At 40.3% G+C, this 27165-nt stretch overlaps 1 protein-coding gene and 1 non-coding gene across 2 annotated transcripts in view; one reads left to right on the forward strand and one right to left on the reverse strand.

The window, feature by feature from the left end:
* UTP20 (UTP20 small subunit processome component) overlaps positions 1–27165 on the forward strand; it is a 106514-nt gene that overhangs the window by 72596 nt on the left and 6753 nt on the right. The window contains exons 40-57 of the mRNA NM_014503.3: positions 347–429; positions 2132–2418; positions 3854–3993; positions 4226–4382; positions 9262–9360; positions 10876–11043; positions 12759–12925; positions 13858–13999; positions 15160–15276; positions 17021–17191; positions 17732–17863; positions 18358–18468; positions 20184–20263; positions 20701–20770; positions 20885–21067; positions 22108–22239; positions 22924–23056; positions 26671–26858. Coding sequence (NP_055318.2) covers positions 347–429; positions 2132–2418; positions 3854–3993; positions 4226–4382; positions 9262–9360; positions 10876–11043; positions 12759–12925; positions 13858–13999; positions 15160–15276; positions 17021–17191; positions 17732–17863; positions 18358–18468; positions 20184–20263; positions 20701–20770; positions 20885–21067; positions 22108–22239; positions 22924–23056; positions 26671–26858 — 2560 coding nt within the window. The remainder of the gene's footprint in view (positions 1–346; positions 430–2131; positions 2419–3853; positions 3994–4225; positions 4383–9261; positions 9361–10875; positions 11044–12758; positions 12926–13857; positions 14000–15159; positions 15277–17020; positions 17192–17731; positions 17864–18357; positions 18469–20183; positions 20264–20700; positions 20771–20884; positions 21068–22107; positions 22240–22923; positions 23057–26670; positions 26859–27165) is intronic.
* Positions 6048–6149, reverse strand: LOC124903119 (small nucleolar RNA U13). The gene has a single exon (XR_007063651.1). It is a non-coding gene; the product is annotated as a small nucleolar RNA U13 (small nucleolar RNA).

The raw sequence follows: 27165 nt of genomic DNA on the forward strand, positions 1-27165 counted from the left end.
ACCTAATGCTAGATGACGAGTTAGTGGGTGCAGCGCACCAGCATGGCACATGTATACATATGTAACTAACCTGCACATTGTGCACATGTACCCTAAAACTTAAAGTATAATAATAAATAAATAAATTTAAAAAAAAGTAATTTAAAAAATATTTTGTGAATTAGTCTTTCTGTAATCTCAATTTACTTTTATCTTGTATTAATAAGGTTATGCTAATACTTGTTAAAATTAAAAATACTAATAAAAATAATTTTAATGTTTATTAGTGTTTAAATTTCCTCTCCTTTTATAATCCAGTGATATTAATAATCAAATGAACATTTCTGTATACTTTTTTTTTTAACAGTTTGCTAGTAATAGTGTTAGAAGCATTCCACTTTGACCACAAAACTCTTGAAGAACAAATGGGAAAAATTGAGAATGAAGAAAGTAAGTTTCTTAAACTTTCTTAAACAAGATTTTCATCTTATTCTTGGATAGTGTATGGTAATTAATTAAAGATGGTGACATTCAACTTATTCCCTTTGTCTGCTCTTACTAGCAATGGACAGTTAATGAGTCAGGAAGGAGGCTAAAATAAATGGTTTAAGTATTCTTGGAAAACTTTATTTAACAAAAGAAAAGGCTAGTCTAAATTGTATTAGTGAAAAAATGTGAGCTGTAGATTATTTATATAGAAATCCAATTTTATCACCTTCTTGTGTGAAAAGAGCATTACACAATGAATGGAAAGAAAGTGTAAGAAAATAAGTAATTAAAAATTAAAGCAGCAATTGGTGAAAAATAAACTGGATACAATAGAAAAGATCAACAAAGCTAAAAATAAATAAGTATTTGAAAAGATTATAAATTGGGCCAGAGACAGTGGCTCACAACTGTAATCCCAGCAACTTGGAAGGCTAAGGCAGAAGGATCAGTGGAGCCTAGGAGCTGGCTGCAGTGAGCTATGATCACCATAGCACCACTGCCTTCTGGCTTGGGTGACAGAGTGAGACCCTATGTCTAAAAATAAAAAGAAATTAAAATAAAATTTTTAAACATTATAAATTGGCAAATGCCTGACAAGATTGATCTGTAAAAATGTAAGATGTAATAAACATTACTAGGAATTAAAAAGCGTCACGATTAAGTGAAAAGGTATCTTCGTATTTATAAATGTGAATACTTGGCTGAGATGTACAAATTCTTAGAAAAATATAATACAAAAACTGACTTTAGAAGAAAATAGAAAATCCAGATAGATTTCTAACCATTAAAGGAATTGAATGCACAGTTAGGCTGGGGCACGGTGGCTCACACCTGTAATCCCAGCACTTTTGGGAGGCCTACGCAGGTGGATCACTTGAGGCCAGGAGTTCGAGACTAGCCTGGTCAACATAGCGAAACCCTGTCTCTACTAAATATACAAAAAATTAGCTGGACATGGTGATGCACACTTGTAATCTCAACTACTCAGGAGGCTAAGGCATGAGAATTGCTTGAACCCAGGAGGCAGATGTTGCGGTAAGCTGAGATGTCACTACTGTACTCCAGCCTGGGTGACACGGCAAGACTCTGTCTCAAAAAAAAAAAAAAAAAAAAAAAGAAAAGAAATTCAATCTGCAGTTAGTCATCTGATGAAAACACCAGGCACAGATTGTTTTATGGCTAAGTTTTACCAAACATTCAAGGGGTAGATCATTTCAGCCTATACCAGCTATTTCAGATGATTGGAAAAGAGGAATTCCCACTAACTTGTAAAATTGTAATCGCATACCAGAAACTGACAAAGACTCTGGGCAGTTGGCTGTCATTAGGATTTTCATGCTCATGAAGGGAGGTGCTTTATTTGGTTAAGATGTTCCTGCCCCCCAAGCCTCCCAGTGTGTTCCCCAATTACCCTGTACCTGCAGTTCTGTGTTCTTTTATAATCGGCAGTTTATTTGTCTCTCTTTAAACTCTAAACTGTGAGAAAGCAAAACCCATGGCCCTCTCATTTACTGCTCTTTCCTCAGCACTTACCTTGCCTGCCCACAGTTGCTGATTAGATATTTTTTATCGGAAGTTGGACGTTGGTGGGAAAAACTGCTTACCACAACTGTGTGGTTTCATTATTTGCTTTAAGGTGACTTTTGTTGTTTATTAAACATAGACGCAATTGAAGCAATTGAGTTACCAGAGCCTGAGGCCATGGAATTAGAGCGTGTGGATGAGGAAGAGAAGGAATATACATGCAAGAGTTTGTCAGACAACGGACAACCGGGAACCCCTGATCCAGCTGACTCTGGAGGAACATCAGCTAAAGAATCCGAGTGTATCACAAAGCCTGTCTCTTTCCTTCCTCAAAACAAGGAAGAAATAGAGAGAACAATTAAAAATATCCAAGGAACCATAACCGGGGATATTCTCCCCAGGCTACATAAATGCCTTGCATCTACGGTAATAAATTTATTCGGGGTCCAGCAGGTCTGTGTGAATTCTGGTGTTGGTGGAGCCCTGTCACACTGAGGCTCTTGGTGATTATTGATTGATTTCAGCTTTTAGATTTCCTTTTATCTCAACACTTCACAATTCACCCCTCTACTCTTATCTCTTCAACTTCAGGCTTATCCTGCTGCAACTAAGCAGTAACGCTCCTTCTTTATGATTTTGATAGGGTAGATAAATGCTTTTCCATCTCCAAAGTAGTTATTAAGAGACTCCCATGTCCCAAAAAGGTTATTAAAAATTAGAATGTTTCCATTTTCTACTTTCTGGTCAGTTCTGCACTATTCAAAATTCATCTTTCCTAGTTAACAGGGATAACATTCAGCAGTGCATTCTCATGAAGCCAGAGCCTTTCCTTCCTTCTCAGGGTGAAACACGGGTTGGCCAACTATGGCTCAGGGACTAAATCTAGCCTGTGGCCTGTTTTTGTACGGTTTTATTGGAACACAATTATCCACTTGTTTACGTAGTGTTTAGTACTGCCTTTTCATCACAACAGCAGAGTTGAGTAACTTCAACAGAGCCCATAAAGCCAAAAATACTATATGGCCTTGTTCAGAAAAATTTTGCTAACTCCTGGTATAAAATATTGATTTATATTTTGTATATTTGTAAATATTTATTTATATTTTGTATATTTGTAATACAAATTTATATATTTGTAAATAAACCTTTATTTGAGGCCCTGTATTTATTATATACTAACAGTGTCACTCACACAGTTGACAGTTCCCACCGACACACGTTTTATATGAGTTTCCTATACTTGACAGCAGTCTTAACCCACGTTGGTGAAAATCTGGCTTTATTTTTTTCTCATGGCTTCTTCCAAAAGTAGAACATTCTTACACCTGTTATTTTTATAATTTTTAAAGGGTTATCCTCAAATTAGATATTTGGTTTGTTTTTAAATAAACTTAGAAATGGGCTTAAGATCTATAGAAAGAGCTGTTTTTCTTTTCTTTCTTTTTCTTTTTGAGATGGACTTTCCCTCTTGTTGCCCAGGCTGGAGTGCAGTGGCACGATCTCGGCTCACCACAACCTCCACCTCCCAGGTTCAAGCGATTCTCCTGCCTCAGCCTCCCAAGTAGCTGGGATTACAGGCATGCACCACCACGCCCGGCTAATTTTGTATTTTTAGTAGAGACGGGGTTTCTCCAGGTTGGTCAGGGTGGTCTCAAACTCCCGATCTCAGGTGATCCGCCCACCTTGGCTTCCCAAAGTGCTGGGATTCCAGGCATGAGCCACCGCACCCAGCCTTTTCTTTCTTCTTTTTATGATCATCCATCCTTCTAGAAAAACTTGTCTTTCAAATACAAAGTTGCAGTGTTGGTAGATCACTGATCCATTTATTTTCATTTTAGCTTAACCTAAATTTTTCTTACAGACTAAAAGGGAAGAAGAACACAAGCTTGTCAAGTCAAAGGTTGTGAATGATGAGGAAGTCGTTCGAGTTCCATTAGCTTTTGCCATGGTTAAACTAATGCAGTCCCTTCCACAAGAAGTTATGGAAGCTAATCTGCCAAGGTATGTTTTTTAACAAATTAGAAGTTTAGTGAAACTCAAAAATTGGTTCTTTTCTTCCTTACTTTTGAGTCTCTTTTGTCAGGAAGAGGAAAAAGTACTGTCATAACTTGCTGTGGTTTCGAATATTAACAGGAAAATTTGAGTTACGAGTAATTAAGAGACTAAAGGATATGTGTATGTTTAATTGCTTCTGTTTATTTGATTAGTCATTTTTCAACTTCTCATTTTCTAGTATTTTGCTGAAAGTGTGTGCCCTACTCAAGAACAGAGCCCAAGAAATCAGAGACATTGCACGCAGCACTCTTGCGAAAATAATAGAGGATCTTGGTGTGCACTTCCTCCTATATGTTTTAAAAGAATTACAGACTACTCTTGTCCGTGGATACCAGGTAAATTGCATCTTGTGCTTTATATTCAAGTTGTATTGGAGTTAAAATATTTGCAGCTTGAACACTGTAAGTTATGGAACTTTGGGCCTGTCTTTAAATTTGATCCACTGACACTCTGAGCAGTAATATTCAAAAGTTTCCAATTAGTATTAAGGAAATCTGTTGTTTAAATAGTTCCTATATCTGATTTTTAAAAGATCCTTATAGGCCTGGGTTACATGACCTATTTTTTTCTCTCAAATTACTTCATATCAAGTTTTATATTCTCTGAGTTCTTAATATAATTCTTTTGGGATGTGTATTGACTATTATCACTGGTGTGAATGATAAAGAACATACACATCTGTTTAAGAGTTGGAATATAAAATGTAAATTACAAAATAAGGGGCTGGGTGCAGTGGCTTATGCCTGTATACCCAGCACTTTAGGAGGCCAAGACGGGAGGATCACTTTAGGCCAGGAGTTCAAGACCAGCCTGGTTAACATAGTGAGACCTTTTCCCTACAAAAACTAATAATAAAAATAGCCAAGTTTGGTGGCACACGTTTGTGGTCCCAGCTACTCAGGAGGCTGAGGTGGGAGGATTGCTTGAGCCTGGAAGGTCAAGGCTGCAGTGAGCTGTGATCATGCCACAGAACTCCAGCCTGGGCTGCAGAGTGAAACCCTGTCTCAAAAAATAAAATAAGAGCGCCAAGTGGAATATACAGCACTCCAAGTAGTTACGTGGTATCTAGCCCCTCGCTGCTCCAAGCATGGCACCTGGACAGACAGTATCAGCAGCATCTGAGGGGTTGTGAGAAATGTAGGATTTAAAGGTCCTACACCTGACCCTACAGAAACTGCATTTTCATATGATCCCTGGGTGATTTAAAGTTTGAGGAACGCTGCAGCTTCTTTTCAAGTAAGCAGCCATATTACTTGTTGGGGTGGGGGTGAAGAATGATGCTCAAAGAAAACAATTTTGGTACAGTCGACGTGATTAAGACTCCTGGTAGTTAGCTTTACTTTGTACATCCTAGTTTGTTGATGGGTAAGGTTCCTAGTCTACAGACTGTAAGTCTAACACACTAAGAAATGTCACATTCATTTTGACTATCTTTCTTTGTATAGATTTTTAGTAGTTGCTCTATCGATTACCATATATTTCAATAGTCTACTGAGAATCAGTATTTTACCAATTCAAGTGGAATGTAGAAACCATATCACCCTGTATGGCCCTTTGCCCTTCACCCTTTGTATTATAGCTCTTTATGTATTAACGTCTCCGTATACTGAAAACTTCATTAGGCAATGTTATAATTTTTGCTTATAATTGTCAAACAAGTTTTAAGCACTCAAGAGGAGAGTAGTCTGTTCTACCTAGATATTTACTATTTCTGCTGTTCTTCCTTCATTTCTGAATTTCCACACTTCTTTCTAATATCATTTTGCCGTAGTCTAGAGGGTGTCCTTTAGCAATGTGGTGGAGCAGGCATGGTGGGAACAGATTCTGTTAGTTTTCTTTCTTCTATGAATGTCTTCCTTTTACCTTCATTCCTGAAACATATTGTTGCTGGATATATAATTTCACTTTAACAGTTCTTTCTTTTTAGCTGTTTAGTTCTTTCCTTTAAAAATATTGTTCTATTTCCTTCTAGCCTTTGTTTTCTTTTCTTTTTTTTCCCACATCAGGCAGATAATGCCCAACTGTTGTAACAAGGTTGAGGGAGACATATCTCACCCATAAACATAGAAACCCAACCATCACACTTATAAATTATGAAGCATCCCTTCCTACCTTTCTGATGAGTTATTCAATTTGTTGTCCCCCTCTTACTAATATGCTGTTTTTCTCAGGCTGCTTTAAAGACTTTATCGTTATTTTTCAGCAGTTTGATCATGATGTGTCTAAGTGTGGATTTCTTTGGTTTACTCTGGTTGGCATTTTCTGAGCTTCTTGACCAAATTTGAAGACTTCGGCCAGTATTTCTTTGTTTTTTTGTTTTGTTGTCTTTTGTTTCTGGAGACAGAGTCCTGCTCTGTTGCTCAGGCTGGAGTGCACTGCGATCTTGGCTTACTACAACCTCCACTTCTCGGGTTCAAGCAGTTCTCATGCCTCAGCCTCCGAAGTAGCTGGGATTACAGGCATGAGCCACCATGCCCAGCTAATTTTTTTGTATTTTTAGTAGAGATGGAGTTTCACCGTGTTATCCAGGCTGGTCTCAAATTCCTGGCCTCAAGAGATCTGCCTGCCTTGGCCTCCCAAAATGCTGGGATTACAGGCGTGAGCGACTGCACCCAGCCCCAGTATTTTTTAAAGTAAATTTCCTGCAGTGCACTCTTTCTCCTCTCCTGGGACTCCAGTGAAATGAATGTTTATTTTTCTCCCACTGGTTCCTGAGGCTGTGTGTGTGTGTGTGTGTGTATGTATGTGTGTGTGTATATATATATATATATAGCTCTTCTTCCACTCTGTTTAGGTTGGATAATTTCTTTCAGTCTATCTGCAGCTTCACTGACTCTTCCCTCTTTCATATCTTTCTGCAATTGAGCTCATCCAATGAGTTTCTTATTTCAGTTTTTGGGTTTTTCAGTTCTAAAATTTTCATTTATTTTTTCTTTAGATCTTCTGTTTCTTTGCTGACACTTAATTTTTGCATTTGTTTCAGTCTTTCAGCTAGAAAACTGGGGCTTTATTTTTCCCACTCTGCCATGTGCCTCCTGCAGCTGTGCCCATGTCAGGGGCCAAGCAATGGCAGCACAGAAAGAGAAAAGCAACTAGACTAGGCCAACCCTCTCAGAACTGTAGTTCCAATGAATGGAGAGGAAGCTTCCCCTCCCAGAGTTGTAGCTCCTGCCCTTCCCCGTTTCAAGGCCACTGCCACCACCACAGCATTGCGAGACATGGTATATTGAGAACTGGACATACAAGGAGGACTACATCTCTGTTCTTGAGGATTCATGCACACATTTTTAAGGAACACTTGAGGTGTTTAAATGAGTAGCCCTTTTTTTCTCTAACCATCTGTTCTTCAAGTCTATCCCATTATTAGTTAAAATAACTAAATTAGAGTTGAGAGAACAACTGATTTCAGCTTTAGTGTTAATCATGTAGACTGTACCAAAATTGTTCTCTTCGAGCATCACTCGTCATCCTCACCTCCACCAAAAGGTTTTTTTACAGTTACAGGAAAGTTGGGCACAGTGGTGTGTACCTTTAGTGCCAGCAACTCAGGTGGCCGAAGTGGGAGGTGAACACCTTGAGCCCAGGGTGTTCAAAACCAGCATGATAACATAGCAAGACCCTGTCTCAAAATATGTATGTTAATTTCACAGCAAACATTTCAAGTACAGGTGCTTTTTGACTTTTATGATGAGACAGTGTCCCAATAAATCCATCATAAAGTTGAAAAATCATAGATCAAAACATTGTAAGTCGGGAACCGTCTATATATAAAAGTACTTAAAGATCACAAGTAGGGGCCGAATGCTGTGGCTCACACCTGTAATCCCAGCACTTTGGAAAGCTGAGGCGGGCAGATCACTTGAGGTCAGGAGTTCAAGACCAGCCTGGCCAACATGCTGAAACCCTGTCTCTACTAAAAAATATCTGTATATAAAAATTGGCATGGTGGCACATGCCTGTAATCCCAGCTACTCGGGAGGCTGAGGCATAAGAATTTCTTGAACCCGGGAGGCAGAGGTTGCAGTGAGCTGAGATCGCACCACTGCACTCCAGCCTGGGTGACAGAGCAAGACTCTGCCTCCAAAAAAATAAAAGACCACAAGAAGGTACATAAGAAACTATGCGTTTAAGACCCAATCTACGTTTTGACAACTAAATGTGTTTCCTTAGCCTATGATCATTATCTGATATTTACCTTGTTAATTTCACAGCACTAGAAGCAGCATAAAGAATTCAAAAAGCTTGAGAGGCAGGATAACCTGTTGTGGAGCCTGGGACTCTGGTTTCTAATCTTCACTCCACCAGTTCCTACCTATGACCTCTTTGCGCCTCAGCTTCCTCATCTAAAAACTGCTGATGATGTAGTACCTACTCCATAGATTGGATGAGTGAGGCTTAAATGATTTAATACATGTAAGGTATTAATATAGTACCTACCCTGTAGTAAGCTCTCAGAAAACATCAGCTTGATTTTTGTTGGGTGCAAAAACTTGTTTCCTTCATAATATTTTATTTACAAGCTTTGATTACATTCAACATGGGCAAGCTCCTTAATTCACAGGTTGGTCTTCTTTCTTTAAAGTTCAGGACTCTTGGCCAGGCATGGTGGCTCACTCCTGTAATCGCAGCACTTAGGGAGGCTGAGGCAGGCAAATCACCTGTGGTCAGGAGTTCGAGATCAGCCTGGCCAACATGATGAAACCCCATCTTTACAAAAAGTACAAAAAAATTAGCCAGTCACGATGCCGGGTGACTGTAATCCTAGCTACTCGGGAGGCTGAGACAGAAGAATCTCTTAAACTCGGGAGACGGAGGTTGCAGTGAGCCAAGATCGCACCATTGCACTCCAGCCTGCGCTACAAGAGCAACACTCTGTCTCAAAAATAAATAAATAAATAAATAAATAAATAAATAAATAAATAAATAAATAAAGTTCAAGACTCTTGTGCCTTTCTTTATAAATCACTGGCCTGGTTTAGTCACAACAATAGATCCTAAGAATGGTAGTGGGTTTCTGAACACCTTTGGTACAAAGTGATCATTTGGTTACAGGATTTTAGATAGTGAAATAACTATGTGTCATTTGTCGAAGCTTCTCCTGGCAATAAAAGACATATAAACTCTGAGTGTTCTCTTTGCAGTGCTTCCTAGATCTTATGTTTTCCTAGTGTGACATTGTTAATATTCATGTTGTTGCTGTGTGTCTCATGTTAGGTCCATGTGCTGACTTTCACCGTTCACATGCTGCTGCAAGGCCTCACCAATAAGCTGCAGGTCGGAGATTTGGACTCTTGTTTAGATATAATGATTGAGGTAAGACTTACAGAAACGAATTCTAATTTTTTTTTAAGTGGGCCAACGACACAAAAAAATCAATTCACCAAATAAGAAATAATAATAGCCCATAAAAATGAAAATAATGTAACACCTCATCTTTTAGATTAGCAGAGGTTTAAAGAGCTAAGACTAAAGCGAGATGGGCACTCTGTCACTGCAAGGAGGTCATAAATTGATATGATCTTTCCGGAAAGTAAGTTGCCATTTTGTATCAAGAGCTTTTGAAATGAGAAAAGATTTTCAGTCACATCTAAGAATCTATTTTTAAGAAATAAGTTATGTTCACAGGAGCTTTATTTATAATACAGTCGGAAATTAATAATAACTTTTAAAATTGGGCCAGGCACTGTGGCTCATGCCTGTAAACCCAGCACTTTGGGAGGCTGAGGTGGGCAGATCACTTGAGTCCAGGAGTTTGAGACCAGCCTGGCCAACATGGTGAAACCCCGTCTCTAAGAAAAATACAAAAACTAGCCAGGCATGGTGATGCGCACCTGTAATCCCAGCTACCCAGGAGGCTGAAGCAGGAAAATCCCCTGAACCTGGGCTGTGGAGGTTGCAGTGAGCGCAGACCGCGCCACTGCACTTCAGCCTGGGCGACAGAGTGAGACTCTGTCTCAAAAAAACAAAACAAAACAAAATTGGATAGTATACTAATTTGGAGGCTACCATTGTGAAGATAATAAATTTGCCACATAACCTTTTGTTCATTTGTTTTAAAATGTAGACACTAACATTTTGAATCTCAATTTAAATATTTACGTTAGGCCAGGCACAATGGCTCACACCTGTAATCCCAGCACTTTGGGATGCTGAAGTGGGTGGATGACTTGAGACCAGGAGTTTGAGACCAGCCTGTGCTACATGGTGAAACCCCATCTCTGCTAAAAATACAAAACTTAGTCAGGTGGGGTGGCACATGCCTGTGATCCCAGCTACTTAGGAGGCTGAGACACGAGAATTGCTTGAACCCAGGAGCTGGAGGTTGCAATGAGCTGAGATCATGCCACTGCACTCCAGCCTGGGTGCCAGAGTGGGACTCTGTATCAAAAAATAAGGTAATTAATTAGACTAATAATTAATTAGATTGCAAATATTTGTAATTTATAATTAGAATGTAAATAATTAATTAGATTGCAAATATTCTGAGAACTTCTTGAAGGGAAATTAAGCTACTCTTTGGTACATCAAAAAAGAAGTAACTGTCTGTAAAGTCATACAATTATATATGTACATCTGTGAAGGATTTTTCTTTGTTTCCCGTTAGTATCACCTTTAAGTGTTTCTTATGTGTTTGTTTTTTTAGTAATTGGTCCCTAAATTGCATTGAAAACAAGTGCATTCTAAAAGAAATTTCTTCCATCTAATTTGAGTCCAGTCCAACTTGCATTTCTTTGATTTGGACATACCAGGGCCTTTTTTCAGTGACTGCTTATGTTGGCATATCTTGCTGAGTGCATATAATTGCCATTTGTCCTTTTTCTTCCAAAGATTTTTAACCATGAGTTGTTTGGTGCTGTTGCTGAAGAGAAGGAAGTAAAGCAGATCCTCTCCAAAGTCATGGAAGCACGAAGAAGCAAAAGTTACGACTCTTATGAAATCCTCGGCAAGTTTGTAGGAAAAGATCAGGTTACAAAACTCATCCTTCCATTAAAAGAGGTAAGGACGTAAATGCAATTCTGGAGATCACAGCATTACAATCTCATGAGTTCCTAAAAGGAACCATGCGGGGCAAACTGAAACACTGTTCTTGATCACCCATGATTTCCTTTGGTGATAGGGCCCCAGGACCATATGGCCAGTGAGTGAATGCTTTGATTCAAAAATCATAGTCCCCTATGTAAACCATGAGATGAGAAAGAAAGGCAACAAGAATTGAGTGCAGGTGAATATTATAGCTGGGTCAAGTCAGCAGCTAAGAACATGAAGAAATCCAGAGGCACACAAGCCGCATAGTGCTTATCTTTGAGGTTGAGGTTGTGAGTAACATTTCCTTATATGTTATGTCCATGTTTGAAATTTTATTAAGAATTTGTTTTAGGCCAAGCATGGTGGCTCACACCTGTAATTCCAGCAATTTGGAAAGCCAAGGCGGGAGGAATTGCTTGAGCCCAGGAGTTTGAGACCAGCCTGGGTAACATAGCAAGACCCTGTCTCTATTTAAAAATGTATATTTACATTTACAAAGAAATTCATTTTAGTTAGGAGTAAATATATATTAGAAAGCCTTTGGACAAATTGCCACTTCCAGGTTGCCAAGAGGAAGAAAACTGGCATTTATTGACATATTATATTCTAAGCACTGCTACATTATCTCTCCTAATCTGCACACCCTGTGAGATTGATGGTACTTCCATTTTACAAATAAGAAAATTCAGGCTTGGAAAGGTAGAAAGGAACATGGTTAAAGAGAAAAGTCAGGGTATAGGGTTTAGTTCCAGATCTTTCTGATCCAAGTTCACATTCCTACCATGGTTTCATTCTGCCTCCTGAAGATCAGGGAATGTAATTTACCCACCTTCCTATTGATTTCTGTGCCTGTTGCAGAGGTGAACATCCAGTAAATGTTATTAATTTATTAGTTTTGTGTATTAAAACTAGAGCAAAGAGCACTATCTATTGACATGAATTACATTAGGTCTAAATGTTCTGGTGCTAGATGAACTCCATAATTACTCCTAGAATGCATTTAGTTTTATGTGAGCCTTATCTAAGAATGTTAGATGCATTTTCAGGATGAAAAAGAGTCAACAGAGCACATATATCCGTGATGTATATTAAAAAGTCCCTCCAAGGTATTGAGAGTTAATACCATGTCTCATGCAAGATAATAGCTCTGAAGCACCAAGTATTTCCTGAGGTTGCTGATCCTGGTTCCCATTAGGTTCCTCTGATTTGGCCCAATAATTGATATCAGACCCTGAGGCTTGGCCATAGTAGCACTTCATTCTCGTGGTTTTCTATGAGGAGTGAATACATTTTGTTGATTGTGTGTGTGTGTGTGTGTGTGTGTGTGTGTGTGTGTGTTTGCCTCTAAGTCACCCCTGTTAATGTACCAGGAGAGTTGATGTTAACTTAGAAGTCTCATATCTCTGGCATTGTGCCCTGAGGCCTCACCAGCAGAGAACAGGGAGGGAGTGGAGGAAACCCCGAGGCTCACAAGCCTGCACAGTGGTTCTTCCTGGGATTGAGATTATAGTTAACTTTCACCTTATATGTTATATCTGTGTTTGAAATTATATTAAGAATGCTTTTTAATTAGGAGAAAGCCAAACGTATATTAGAAAGCTAATATATAAAAGAAAACTGCCATTATGACAAATCAAAATGCATTTCTGTGTCATCTCAGCATGACATTTATGTTTTGCCTTTAGATCTTACAAAATACCACGAGTTTGAAACTGGCCCGGAAAGTTCATGAAACTTTACGCCGAATCACAGTGGGATTAATTGTAAATCAGGAAATGACAGCTGAATCCATTCTATTACTCAGTTATGGTTTGATCAGTGAAAATCTTCCCCTGTTAACAGAGAAAGAAAAGTAAGTTGGAAAAAAAACAAACTGTCATTTAGGTCTCTGCGTCTGATAAGCCATTCTGTGGGTTGTTTTAATAATTTGCTTTAGTAAAAAATAAAATTATATCCACCTGAGTTCTCAGATGGTACTTTATGGTGTGATACATTTCAACATGAGATTTTCTCATAAATGAGGTAGCAGTGACAACAGCCAATTATTTTGGCATTTCTCTGATACCATTTTTTAAAAAGATTTATTGATTCAAAGATAGGATAGATTTTAAATCTGTATCTTGTATTTTGATTAAACAGAGATTGAGACCTTAAAAGATTTTAAAATATCTTACAGGCTGGGCACAGTGGCTCATGCCTGTAATCCCAGCACTTTGGGAAGCTAAGGAGGGCAGATCACCTGAGGTCAGGAGTTCAAGACCAGCCTGGCCAACTTGGTGAAACCCCATTCTCTACTAAAAACACAAAAATTAGCCAGGCATGGTGCTGGGCACCTGTAATCCCAGCTACACAGGAGGCTGAGGCAGGAGAATCACTTGAACCCGGGAGGCGGAGGTTGGAGTGAGCCGAGATCGCGCCACTGTACTCCAGGCTGGGCAACAGAGCAAGACTGTCTCAAAAAACAAAATCTTATATATTAGTAAACTTCATTTTGGTCTTGCTTCTATGGTCTAAGAGAGACTCGTTGGCATTTATTTTCAGAAATCAAACAAGGGAGTATCCTGCTGTTGATCCTAATATAAATATGTTGTCCTAGTAACCTTAATCAACAGCCTAATAATCTCTTCTGTATCTCATGGTTTGGGGGTTTGGGGAGGGGCAAAACCCAAGCAAATGGCACATTATTTAGTGCTGGGCTCTCGTCACTTTAGAAGGGCCACTCTAACTTCTTGGAATGCAGCTGACAGTGTTCTTTACCCTCTTCTCATGCCACGTGATTGACAGAAATCCAGTAGCCCCAGCACCAGATCCACGTCTACCACCCCAGAGCTGCCTTCTGCTTCCCCCAACTCCAGTTCGAGGTGGACAGAAAGCTGTTGTGAGCAGGAAAACCAACATGCACATATTTATTGAGTCCGGGCTTCGGGTAAGAATTAACCTTAAAATGAGACTTGCTACTTTCAGGGAGTCTGCACCTTTTAGTCTTCTGTTGAATTTCTAGTACTGCTCACTTCCATTGGAAATGCCTTACTGTAAATACATTTTAGATTTTTTTTTTTTACAGGTGCATTGGTCCATTTACTATTTATCTCTTGCAGCACTTACATTGAAGATGTAACTGTCCCAGAATTAATGATTCTGCTCTAATATGTATTAAGGTCTTACTGATGCTTTGCCCATGAGTCCCTCTGAACTACTTTGAATTTTTTTAAGAGATGGTGAGTGGCCAGACATGGTGGCTCACACCCATAATCCCAGCACTTTGGGAGGCTAAGGCAGGAGGATCACTTGAGGAGAGGAGTCTGAAACCAGCCTGGGCAACATAGCAAGACTCTATCTCTACAAAAAAAAATTTTTTTTAATTAGCCAGGCATGATGGCACGTACCTGTAGTCTTAGTTACTCAGGAGGCTAAGGTGGGAGAATCACTTGAGCCCAGGAGTTTGAGGCTGCAGTGAGCTATTAACGCACCACTGCACTCCAATATGGACAATATAGTGAGACCCTGTCTCTAAAAAATAAAAATAAAAATAAAATAAAAGACGGTGAGCTTTTAAAAGCATAAATCTAATCATTTCCTTTTTAAAACCCTTCATTGACTCGCATTTTTCTAACACACGTTCCAGCCACCCTGGCTTCCCTTCCCATCTAGAAAGTCACCATACTCTTTCCTGCCCTAGGAACTCACCACCCACTCTTTGCTCTACAAAGATTCCCACAGAACTCTCAAAGCACCCTACCTGTACACATCATCATTTCCTTAGAGTCTAGCTAAGATCCATCAAGACAGAGACCATGTCCATCCTGGTTATTGCCATATCCTGCGTACTGAGCCAGTGCCTGGAATCACAGTAGATGCTGAGAAAATTGACTGGTAAACAGTGGTAGCATCTCAGCTGCACAGCGAGCTCTCACTTTGACTTACTGAGACCCTCCCAGGCAGTTTGTCATTCCTTAAAAATGTTTTATCATTTCTAATAGAAGTATCTTAACATTTCTTGCTTTTCTCTGAACATCATTTCACATTTACCTAACTCATCTGGTCTAATGGGCAACTAATGTGAAATACCTGTTTGAACTCTCTTAGCTGCTGCATCTGAGTCTGAAGACTTCCAAGATCAAGTCTTCAGGTGAATGTGTCCTGGAAATGCTGGATCCTTTTGTGTCTCTCCTCATAGACTGCCTGGGCTCCATGGATGTGAAGGTAAGCATCGGTTTGCACTCTGCATTGGAGCATTTATTTCTTCAGAAGAACTATGTTTTGCAGAATACCTAATGGTTGTATTTGGGCTCAAGCTTTATGAGATGATTGAGGTGTTTTTGTTTGGTTGGTGGGTTTTTTGGGGTTTTTGGGTTTTTTTTTTTTTGAGACAGAGTCTCACTTTGTCACCTAGGCTGGAGTGCAGTGGTGCAATCTTGACTCATTGCAACCTCCACCTCCTAGGTTCAAAGGATTCTCTTGCCTCAGTCTTGCCTCAGCCTCCCAAGTAGCAGGGACTACAGACGCACACCACCACGCCCGGCTAACTTTTGTATTTTTAGTAGACACGGGGTTTCATCTTGTTGGCCAGACTGGTCTCGAACCCCTGACCTCAGATGATCCACCCTCCTTGGCCTCCTAAAATGCTGGGATTACGGGCATGAGCCACCGTGCCCGGCCGAGATTATTGAGTTTTTAAAGAGATTTATGACATCGTGAACCACCACTATTTGCTACATTAAATCACTTCTCAATTTACTAATTCTATAAATTTGGATAGCCTTTAACAGTTCTAAAAGCCCTCCTAGGTACCTTAAGTATGTCACTGGATCCTCACAACTTCATGAGGGTGAATGATTTTGTCCCCTTACCAATCATCATCATCATCACCTTTGTCACTATTACTGCTCCATGCTATGAATCCCAAGAACATTATTTCTGATCCTCACAACCACCCCTGAGGCATATATTCTTACTATTTATGTTTTATAAATGAGAAAATTAGGGCGAGGGCCTAGGTACAGATCTAGGCTATGAACCTAGGTGCCGAGAGGTTAAGTAACATCTCTAGAGTCAAACAGGTAATCAGTTGCAGAGCTGGGATGTAAGCCAAGGTCTTTCCGACTCCCAAGCTCGCTCTTCTGTGTCTTAATCCAGCCCACTGAAGAGTTCTCAGCAGCCAGAGCAGCACGGGTGTTATTAGATGGAGCTGAACTAGCTGATCCCGGTGCTTTCAAAGGTTTGGCCTTAGAGGTTCAGGGATCTCAGCACACTTTTTCCATGTCTTTTGCCATAGCACTTAACTATATTAAATGATAGTCAATTGTTCCCGTGCCTGATTTCTGAGTTAACTGTCTGCTGCATAAATGCAGAGATGGTATCCTTTTTATCTTTGTATTTATAATACCCAGTAGAGTGCCTTGTATACCTAATTCAAGCTTAGTAAGAGTAGATTACATTAAAGTACCATTCTAGAAAACAGAAAAGTCATTTAAGATGTATTTTTCCAAAAAAATTGTAAAATTGACCAACCTATCCAAATCATATAACCTCCATAAACCCCTATAAGTAGGTTAAAAATATGGCTGGGCATGGTGGCTCAGGCCTATGACCCCAGCACTTGGGAGGCTGAGGCAGGAGGATTGCTTGAGCCCAGGAGTTCAAGACCAGCCCAAAAATGTTTAAACAAAGATTAAATTGTAAAAAGAATATGGTGCCTTTTCTTATTTCCTCATGATCTACCATCATAAGGATCCATTGTTACGGATAAGCAATAAATTCTTCTACAACCAGGAATTGTAAATGTCTTTATCTTCTTACATTTTGGGCACAGTTCTTCCAGAGTGGGCTGCGCTTAGCATCTTATTTATTCAGCACAATCATTTAAAGAGTCTGCATAGCCTCAGGTGCTGCATAGTTGGATTCGGTCACATCACAAGTTGGTGGTGTTTTGTTTTGTTTTTTTCAGGTGATCACAGGTGCTTTACAGTGCCTCATCTGGGTCTTGAGGTTCCCGCTACCTTCCATAGAAACAAAAGCAGAGCAGCTGACAAAACACCTCTTCCTTCTGCTGAAGGACTATGCAAAGCTCGGGGCCGCCAGGGGCCAGAACTTCCACCTTGTGGTCAATTGTTTCAAGGTGAGATGTCTTCACTTGCCCTTGGAAAAAGCCAGGATGGAGCTGGATGCAATAGCTCGTACCTATAATCCCAGCACTTTGGGAGGCTGAGGTGGGAGGATTACTTGAGCCTAAGAGTTCAAGACCAGCTGGGTCAGCATAACGAGACCCCGTGTCTACATAAAAAAAAAAAAAAAAAATTAGCTGGGCATGGTGATGTGTACCTGTAGTCCCAGCTACTTGGGATGCTGAGGCAGGAGGATCACTTGACAGGAGTTAGAGGCTGCAGTGAGCTATGATCACATCACTGCACTCCAGCCTTGGTGACAGAGCGAGACCCTGACTCATAAAAAGCTAGAACCAGGATTAACATCAAAGTTAGTTTTCCCCATTGCCCTTTGTGGTTATGGCCAAAATTTTTTCCAGAGTAATTTGCCAAGGCTAGAGGGCTGGCACCCTGTTTGGAAAAGCATACTTGTGTGTTGTGTTAAGTCCTTGTCATTTCACTGGATCCCAACTGTGGGATGTGCTGGCTGTTAACATCACTATTGTAACTTGCAGTGTGTGACCATACTTGTCAAGAAAGTCAAGTCTTACCAGATAACTGAAAAACAGCTCCAAGTTCTACTGGCCTATGCTGAGGAGGACATTTATGATACTTCAAGACAAGCCACTGCCTTTGGTCTTCTGAAGGTATGCTGTCGCCAGAATGTTGACTGTTACGGTTTATGAGTTTCACAGCAGATATTTTGAACACATAGATCATAGTGTTTTGACTAGTCATAGACTTCTGAAATTGAGTAATTTGTAAAGATTATTATGATTTTGGTGGGTCAATTACAGGTGAACATTTGCTTATGAAAAATGTTTAAATGTGAGCTCTGTATTAACATTTCCGGGGAATTCTGTACAAATACAGGTATTCTGTTTTTATTTATATGTTTTTCTTCTTAGTAAAATGTACATAACATAAAACTCACCATTTTAAAAAATTCACCATTTTTACCCATTTGAAGTGTTATGTTTAAGGGTTGTGTGTTCTTTGTGCTTAAGTGTCTATCCTTTTTCTTTTGAAGATACTTTCTTGTGTTTGAAAATGTCCTGTGGTTGCTTTAGCGTCAAATCTGCTTCCACGCATCTGCAGCAAAACACATGAAATGAGTATGTCTTTTCCTTTTGTATCTTAGGCAATTTTATCAAGAAAGCTGTTGGTCCCAGAAATCGATGAGGTCATGCGGAAAGTATCCAAGTTGGCAGTCTCTGCACAAAGCGAACCTGCCAGGGTCCAGTGTAGACAGGTTTGTAGAGAGCACTTATCCCCATAGCAAGGGCTGGGCCCTGCCGCATCTTTGTGGCAGAGGTGTCAACACTGGCTGAATTCTGAAGACCACCTTGTGTCGTATTGTTGCTTTATGCTGAGACTTGGGCGTCCTGGTGCAGGTGGTCAGGGGAGGCTTTTTCTGGGGACTGACAGGCAGGCCAAAATTTGAAGGAAGAAAAAGGCTTAGCTTTCAAGGTGAGGGGGCAGTAGAGGCTTGAGGTGAGTGAGAGCTTAGCTTGGTTGAGGAGCTCAACACAGGTAAGTGAATTGAGGGGTGGGGAGCCAGGTTGGGCAGGACCTTGTGGTCTTGTTAAAGATTTGGGGCTTTGTTCTTTTTTTTTTTTTTTTTTTTTTTTTTGAGACGGAGTCTCACTCTGTCACCAGGCTGGAGTGGTGCAGTGGCGCGATCTCGGCTCACTGCCACCTCCACCTCCCAGGTTCAAGTGATTCTCCTGCCTCAGCCTCCTGAGTAGCTGGGACTACAGGCATGCACCACCACACCCAGCTAATTTTTGTATTTTTAGTAGAGATGAGGTTTCACCATGTTGGCCAGGATGGTCTTGATCTCTTGACCTTGTGATCCACCCACCTTGGCCTCCCAAAGTGCTGGGATTACAGGCGTGAGCCATGGTGCCTGGTGGGGCTTTGTTCTAAGAATAGCAAGGAGCTATTTAAATCCTTAGGGAGAGGAGTGACAGGATCAGGTTTATATCTATACATCTGTCAATCTCTAATTTTATGAACACATACTGTGCCCAAAGAGGTGGAAAGGTCTAAGTTGGAAATAGGAACTCAGGGTTGCAGGTGGGTTTGGGCTGCTGAGGAGGCCAGGGTGGAAGGCAAGATGCATGTCTCTGGAAATAATTGCTTGGCCACTATTAGGAAGAAGAAGGGTCAGCTGCTATTAAGCACTAGCTGTGTGCCTAGCACTTTAAATGCATGACCTCTGTTTACAGGTACCCTTCAGAAGAAACGGTATCCCCATTTTACCGCGAGGGAAAGGCAGGCTTGGAAACTTGAATGATGTCGCCTAGTTCTCACAGTTTATTAATAAAGGAGGCTAGATACCATAGTGGTTTGAAAGTGCAGCCTTTGGACACAGACTAGGCATGGAATTCTGGCAGTGTCACATGAACAAGTTTCTTATTGTCTCGGCCAACTTCATTCCCTTCAACTAGAAAATGGGCTATTATCACGAACTTCTTAAGGGAATGATGAGATTTAACTGAGAAACACTTAACGCAGTGCTTGGCACATAGAGGGTTTTTAGTAAATGCATTAGTTATTATTATCAGTATTGATATTATCACTGTGTTGTTATTCTTGTTGAAGGGGAGATACCAGATTGGACCACAGTCCATACTGTGGTACACCTGTCACCACCTGTCACAGAGAGATCAGCTTCCAACCTGTGGGCTTAGATTTGTAGTCTTAAACCACAGTGCCAGTGGCAGGCCAGGGCTTGCCTCTGTCAGGCACATAGGGCAGGACCAGATGAATGGTGGGAGAAATGAAGGGTCACAGTTGCTATTGACTTCATAGGCAGATTTAGCTGGAGTGCATTGGAAAGCCTGATTGATTGCCATTCTGTAAAGTTTTTATAACCTACCAGTGAGTTCCAGAAAGCAGCTTAGGAAACAGGAATACTAGAGGTGAGATCCAAATAATCATCTGTGTGACTTTTGTTCCTAGGTTTTTCTGAAATATATTCTTGACTATCCCCTGGGTGACAAATTGAGACCAAACTTGGAATTCATGCTCGCTCAACTGAAGTAAGCTTAAGCTATTAACTACACAGGGGCGGAGGGTAGTTTCTTCTTTCCCTTTAACATGGCGGCTGTCTTAAAAAGGATGGGGCCTAAGTATAATGGTACATTCTCTGAGCATACTGTTATATGACTCATTGACTTGATAATCAGACATTGTGCTTGGCTTCATATAGCCGTTCTCTGAGTTGCTTTTCAATCTAATTTAACCGTTGATTGTCATAAGAGTCCACTTAGGAGAATGTTGAAATCTGACACACTTACATTTAAAATTGTACAGTGATAGCTTAATGGATACATACAAGCATTAAAATTAGGAAAACAGAGCATTTTCCATTTTTTTAAGAAGTAAACTGACACCTTGATACAATATTTTCATTTTTTAAATAATTATTTGTAAATTTAGAAGATACTAACAAATCCACCTAATGTCCTTCCCCTAGTTACGAACATGAGACCGGGAGAGAGTCCACCTTGGAAATGATCGCCTATCTCTTTGACACGTTCCCTCAGGTACTGTGACCCCAGAGATAAGCCCCGTGACTCCTGGAAGTCCTCAGTCCCCCTTTGCTAGAGCATCTGTAGGAATTCCACTCTGAGTGCTCACACGTGCCTCTTTTCTTTTAGGGGCTGCTCCATGAGAACTGCGGAATGTTCTTTATCCCTCTTTGTCTAATGACGATCAATGATGACTCTGCCACGTGCAAAAAGATGGCATCCATGACAATCAAGTCCCTACTTGGTAAAATCAGCCTCGAGAAAAAAGATTGGCTGTTTGATATGGTTACCACTTGGTTTGGAGCAAAAAAGGTGTGCGTTGCTTTTAGTCACAGTTCAGTGACAAGTCTTAGCTTTGGGGATCATAGTTTAAGTAAGAATATATGTCATACACTGTTGAATTGGTTTTTTTCCCAAATAGTGTTATTTTTGTCTGATTATGCAAATAGTATATTCTTAAAGTTTTCCAAAGTGTAAGAAGTTATAAAAAGTAATATAGGCCGGGCGCGGTGGCTCACGCCTGTAATCCCAGCACTTTGGGAGGCCGAGGCGGGCGGATCACGAGGTCAGGAGATCGAGACCATCCCGGCTAAAACGGTGAAACCCCGTCTCTACTAAAAATACAAAAAATTAGCCGGGCGTAGTGGCGGGCGCCTGTAGTCCCAGCTACTTGGGAGGCTGAGGCAGGAGAATGGCGTGAACCCGGGAGGCGGAGCTTGCAGTGAGCCGAGGTCCCGCCACTGCACTCCAGCCTGGGCGACAGAGCGAGACTCCGTCTCAAAAAAAAAAAAAATAAATAAAAAGTAATATAAAAATCACCCGTATTCCTACTATGTTATTGTTAGGAAAGTATTCCACTACATGAATGTAACATAATTTACTTAACCAGCTCCTAATGATGAATACCTTTGTTTCCAATTTTGCATATTCGATTACTGAAATGTAATTTTTATCCACTTGGTACCTCTGCCACCATCATTGTTGGCCCATCTTTGTGAAACATAAACAACATGTGCCCTGTGTTAATGAGTAACTTGTTGCATACCCACTTAATGTGGGGTGGGCATGAGACTTCTTTCCATTTCCTTTTAATTAAAAATGGAAAAAAAAATTAAAGTATTCACTGGATAATAATAATGCCTCTTTTTAAAATGTTATTCTTGAGTGTAAAAATTTCCCCACATTTTGTATATTGGCCATCAAAGCTCCATAATTTACTGATTTCTGGCATCAGAAAGAAATGTTTATTTTCTCTGAATGTTGAGGACAAAATAATGCCCACCTTTATTTTACAGTTTCAGTAAAGGCCTCCCAAGTTCTCTTGACATTGTCTTGTGGTTTATTTTTGGTAGCGCTTAAATAGACAACTTGCTGCCCTGATCTGTGGCTTGTTTGTGGAAAGTGAAGGAGTTGATTTTGAGAAAAGACTTGGAACTGTCCTTCCTGTGATTGAAAAGGAAATTGATCCTGAAAACTTTAAAGATGTAAGTAATTTGCTAGGGAATAAAACTTTTCTAACTTATAGTTTTACTTGAGGTGATGTAGCTAACAGATTAGATATCAGCTTATAGGTTAAATATTTATATTTATAGCTATAGCTATTTATAGCTAATCAATTAAATATTTGTGTTCAAACAGTGTCCTTTATCATAAAAGCAAAAATTCAGTGTAATTGGAACTTTTTAAAATGAGCATTATAGCCAGGCATGGTAGCGCATGCCTGTATTTCCACCTTTTCAGGAGGCTGAGGCAGGAGGACCGTGCCACTGTACTCCAGCCTGGCTAACAGAGCAAGACCCTGACTCAAAAAAAAAATGGGGGGTTGGGGGATTCAAGTTAAAGTATCTTCATGGTATATGAAGATCAAAGGTTCTCAACTCAGGCGATTTTACCCCCCCAGGTGACATTTGGCAATGTCTGGAAACATTTTTGATTGTCACAACTGGAGGGTGGAGGTGCTACTGGGATCTAGAGCATAGAGGAGCAGGGATGCTGGTAACATCCTACAGTGCACATGGCAGCCCCCACAGGAAAGGATCATCTGGCCCACAATGTCAGGAGTGCCGAGGGAGGTTCAGAAACGGGTGGATTGATGTGCTGGAGTAAAATTGTCCATCAGATACTTTCAGATTGTTGTTTTCATTGATTTACATCCGTCTTGTTTTTAGATCATGGAAGAAACTGAAGAAAAAGCTGCAGATCGCCTTCTGTTTAGTTTTCTTACACTGATAACTAAACTTATCAAGGAATGTAATATTATTCAGTTTACCAAACCCGCTGAGACTTTGAGTAAAATCTGGAGTAAGTATTTCCTTTTTTATTTAAATCAAACACATTTGTTGTCATAGAATTACTGAAAGTAGATTTGAGAAATTCGAATATGAATACTTCAGAAAGTATACAATGTCAGGAAAAGAGTCCATGAGAAAAAACCTAAAAGGTTCTATCAGATTGAACACAGTGAAAATGTTCCCTTCTGAAAAAAAAACGTATCTATGATTTCATAAGTAATACCTTTCAAAGTCCTGTTTGGTACTTAATAATTTCAGATATGTATCTCTTTTTTTCCTATTTATTTATTTTCCCTCAGGTACAACTGACAAGTGAAAACTGTATATATTTATGGTGTACAATGTATTGTTTTGATGTATGTACTTGTGGTCTATATTTCCATCCAGTCTTTCTTTTTGTTCAGTAGGCATAGGGTTTTTTTGAGAGGTTGCTTAGTTCCATATAAACTTTGATATCCTGTTTGTACCTAAGTAAGCATATTACTATCTATAAGACACCTAGTAGATATCCTTTTAAATAGCTATATAGTAGTCCATTATGTACATATGCCAGTATTTACTAAATGATTTCACAAGTTGTCACACAGTTGCGCATCACCTAACAATAGAGAAACATTCTGAGAAATATATTGTTATGCGATTTTGTTGTTTGAACTTCATAACAGTATACTTAGACAAATCTAGATGGTATAGCCTATTACACCCCTAGACTATATGGTCCAGCCTGTTGCTAAAAACCTTTACAGCATGTACTGTACTGAATACTGTAGGCATTCGTAACAGGGTCATTGTGAATCTAAACACAGCCAAAAATAGAAAGGGTACAGTAAAAATACAGTGTGTATTTTTTTTTAATGAGTAGTGCCAAACTGTTTTATAATCTTATGGAACCACTTTTTTTTTGTTTTGTTTTGTTTTGAGACAGTGTCTCGCTCTGTCACCCAGACTGGAGTTAAATGGCACGATCTCAGCACACTGCAACCTCCTCCGCCTTCCGGATTCAAGTGATTCTTCCGCCTCAGCCTCCCAAGTAGCTGGGATTACAGGCACATGCTACCACACCAGCTAATTTTTGTATTTTTGTAGAGATGGGGTTTCACCATGTTGGCCAGGCTGGTCTTGAACTCCTGACCTCAGGTGATCTACCCGCCTCGACCTCCCAAAGTGCTGGGATTACAGGTGTGAGCCACCACACCCGGCCAATTTTTGTATTTCTGTAGAGACAGGTTTCACCATGTTAGCCAGGCTGGTCTTGAACTCCTGACCTCAGGTGATCCACCTGCCTCAGCCTCCCAAAGTGCTGGGATTACAGGCATGAGCCACTGTGCCCAGCCGGGACCACATCTTATGTGGTCTGTTGTTAACTGAAATAAAGTATTCACCTGGTTTAAGAGCCAGAACTCAGATTTGTGAGAAATAACAAGGTTACTGTATGACCTTCTCAGGTGTGGCTTCATTGCAACATGGCCAGATTATTACAAAGATTCATGTAGATCAAAAGTAAAAACATGTCTATGAAATATAGCAGCAAGACTAAAACTGAGATATGACACGGTTAATCCATCCTGTTCCCCAAAACCCACATTATAAAACTTTTTTTTTTGAGATGGAGTCTCACTCTGTCGCCAGGCTGGAGTGTAGTTGTGCGATCTCAGCTCACTGCAACCTTTGCCTCCCGGGTTCAAGTGATTCTTCTGCCTCAGCCTCCTGAGTAGCTGGGACTACAGGCGTGTGCCACCATGCCCAGCTAATTTTTGTATTTTTTAGTAGAGACAGGTTTTCACCGTGTTGGCCAGGATGGTCTCCATCTCTTGACCTCATGATCCGCCTGCCTCGGCCTCCCAAAGTGCTGGGATTACAGGCATGAGGCACTGCACCCAGCCTAAAACTTTTTTTTCTTTTCTTTTTCCTTTACACGGAGGGGAGATACAGCAGGGAAGGGGAAGTTTGGGTCTCAATGGAGTGGTGGTCACTGGAGAGGGGTCACACTCAAGGCCAAGGTTTCTTCAAAGATAATTTTTAGACCATTAGTGTAGTCAGACTTTTAATTTGCGTATTTAGCATGCCCATCTTCCATTATATGTTTAAGTCCTTTACCAGCATTGGGAAATAAGATTAATACTGTCTGTGCTGCCTCCTAAGAACTTTGTTGATGGTTAAATGAGATCATGTTCATGAAAATGTTAGGGTCTCAGCTGGGCATGGAGGCTCATGCCTGTCATCCCAGCACTTTGGGAGGCTGAGGCTTGCAGATTGCTTAAGCTCAGGAGTTCGAGACCAGCGTGGGCAACATGGTGAAACCCCATCTCTATAAAAAATAACTTCCTGAGTGTGGTGTATGGAGAATGGCCACGTAGCCAAATGCTGAAGAATTAAGAGTTTGAAGGTCAGATCAAGCTAGGGCCCAGGACTGGCTCTGCCTGTTATAGCTTAGCATGTCACACAGCCTTTCTGGAACACTTGTTTCTTCATCTGTAAGATGGAAATTATAATTCCAACGTCACAGAATTGTTATGAGGTCTAAATGAGATAATACATGTAACACAATTAGCCCTGTCCCTGGCATATAGAAAACCTTCAGTAAGTAAATGATAGCTTTACAGGCAGCTACTTGGAGCCACCAATTCTACTGATTAGAAACAAGCCTGTACCTATATACATACTTACATTACTCACTTTAGAAAATGTAACTGTTGGCCAGGCACAGTGGCTCACACCTGTAATCCCAGCACTTTGGAAGGCTGAGGCAAGTGGATCACTTAAGGAGTTTGAGACCAGCCTGACCAACATGATGAAACCCTGTCTCTACTAAAAATACAAAAATTAGCTGGGTGTGGTGGTGAGTACCTGTAGTAACAGTTACTCAGGAGGCTGAGGCAGGGGGATTGCTTGAACCCAGGAGGCAGAGGTTGTAGTGAGCTGAGAGTACACCACTGCACTCCAGCCTGGGCAATGGGAATGAAACCCTGTCGCAAAAAAAAAAGAAAAAAAAGAAAATGTAACTGTTAATGTCACCTTATCTCCCTTGAATCTGAAACTAGTTCTTATGGAACTGGTCTGTTTGAGGGCTGTTTATACCCCATTAGAGTCATTTAACCACTCTAGGAGTTGGTTTTCTAGTCGTTTCCAGTGCCTCTCCCACCTCACTTCTCTCTAGCTCCTGTGAGCTTCTAAGAAGCAAGGACTATTTGTCTTTTTCTAAATTGATACATAATTATGCCTACTTATGGGGTATCTATGATATTTTGATACATGCATACAATGTCCAATGATCCAATTGGGGTAATGAGAATATCCTTCCCCTTGAACATTTATTCTCTCTTTGTGTTGGGAACATTTCAAATCTTCCAGCTATTTTGAAATGTACAGTACATCGTTGTTAACTATAGTCATCCTACTGTGCTGTCCAACACTAAACTTATTCCTTCTATCTAATTCTATTTTTGTACACATTAACCAATCTCTTTTCATCCCCTGCCCCCACTTCCCAGCCATTGGCTTATTTTGTTCATCTTTGGTTCCCCACTCCAAACACATAATACTCTGTAAATGCTTAACTTAGTCATATTTACCTCTAATCAGGAAGGCCATGTGACATCCACAAATGCTTTTTGGTTCCCTTAGGTCATGTGCATTCTCACCTGAGACATCCACACAACTGGGTGTGGCTCACAGCAGCCCAGATTTTTGGATTACTCTTTGCCTCTTGCCAGCCAGAGGAGCTTATTCAAAAATGGAATACCAAAAAGACCAAAAAACACCTCCCAGAACCTGTAGCAATCAAGTTCCTAGCCAGTGACCTTGACCAAAAGGTAAGCTTTCTCTCAAACCTTTTCCTTCCCTCGTGACTGTAAGATGTTCCTTCTGGTTCATGTAACTATCTTCGGGCCAGCCCTTGGGAGAAACTCTTCCAACCAACAATTTGTTGTACAGGTGAATCAATAGGAATATTAGTCACTGGAGAGGGGTCACTCTCAAGGCCAGGGTTTTTTCAAAGATAATTTTTAGACCATTAGTGTAGTCAGACTTCTAATTTGCTTATTTAGCATGCCCATCTTCCATTATATGTTTAAGTTTTTTTTTTCTTTTCTGAGATGGAGTCTCACTCTGTCACCCAGG

The sequence above is a fragment of the Homo sapiens genome, chromosome 12 (assembly GCF_000001405.40).
Source record: "Homo sapiens chromosome 12, GRCh38.p14 Primary Assembly".
Taxonomy (NCBI): domain Eukaryota; kingdom Metazoa; phylum Chordata; class Mammalia; order Primates; family Hominidae; genus Homo; species Homo sapiens.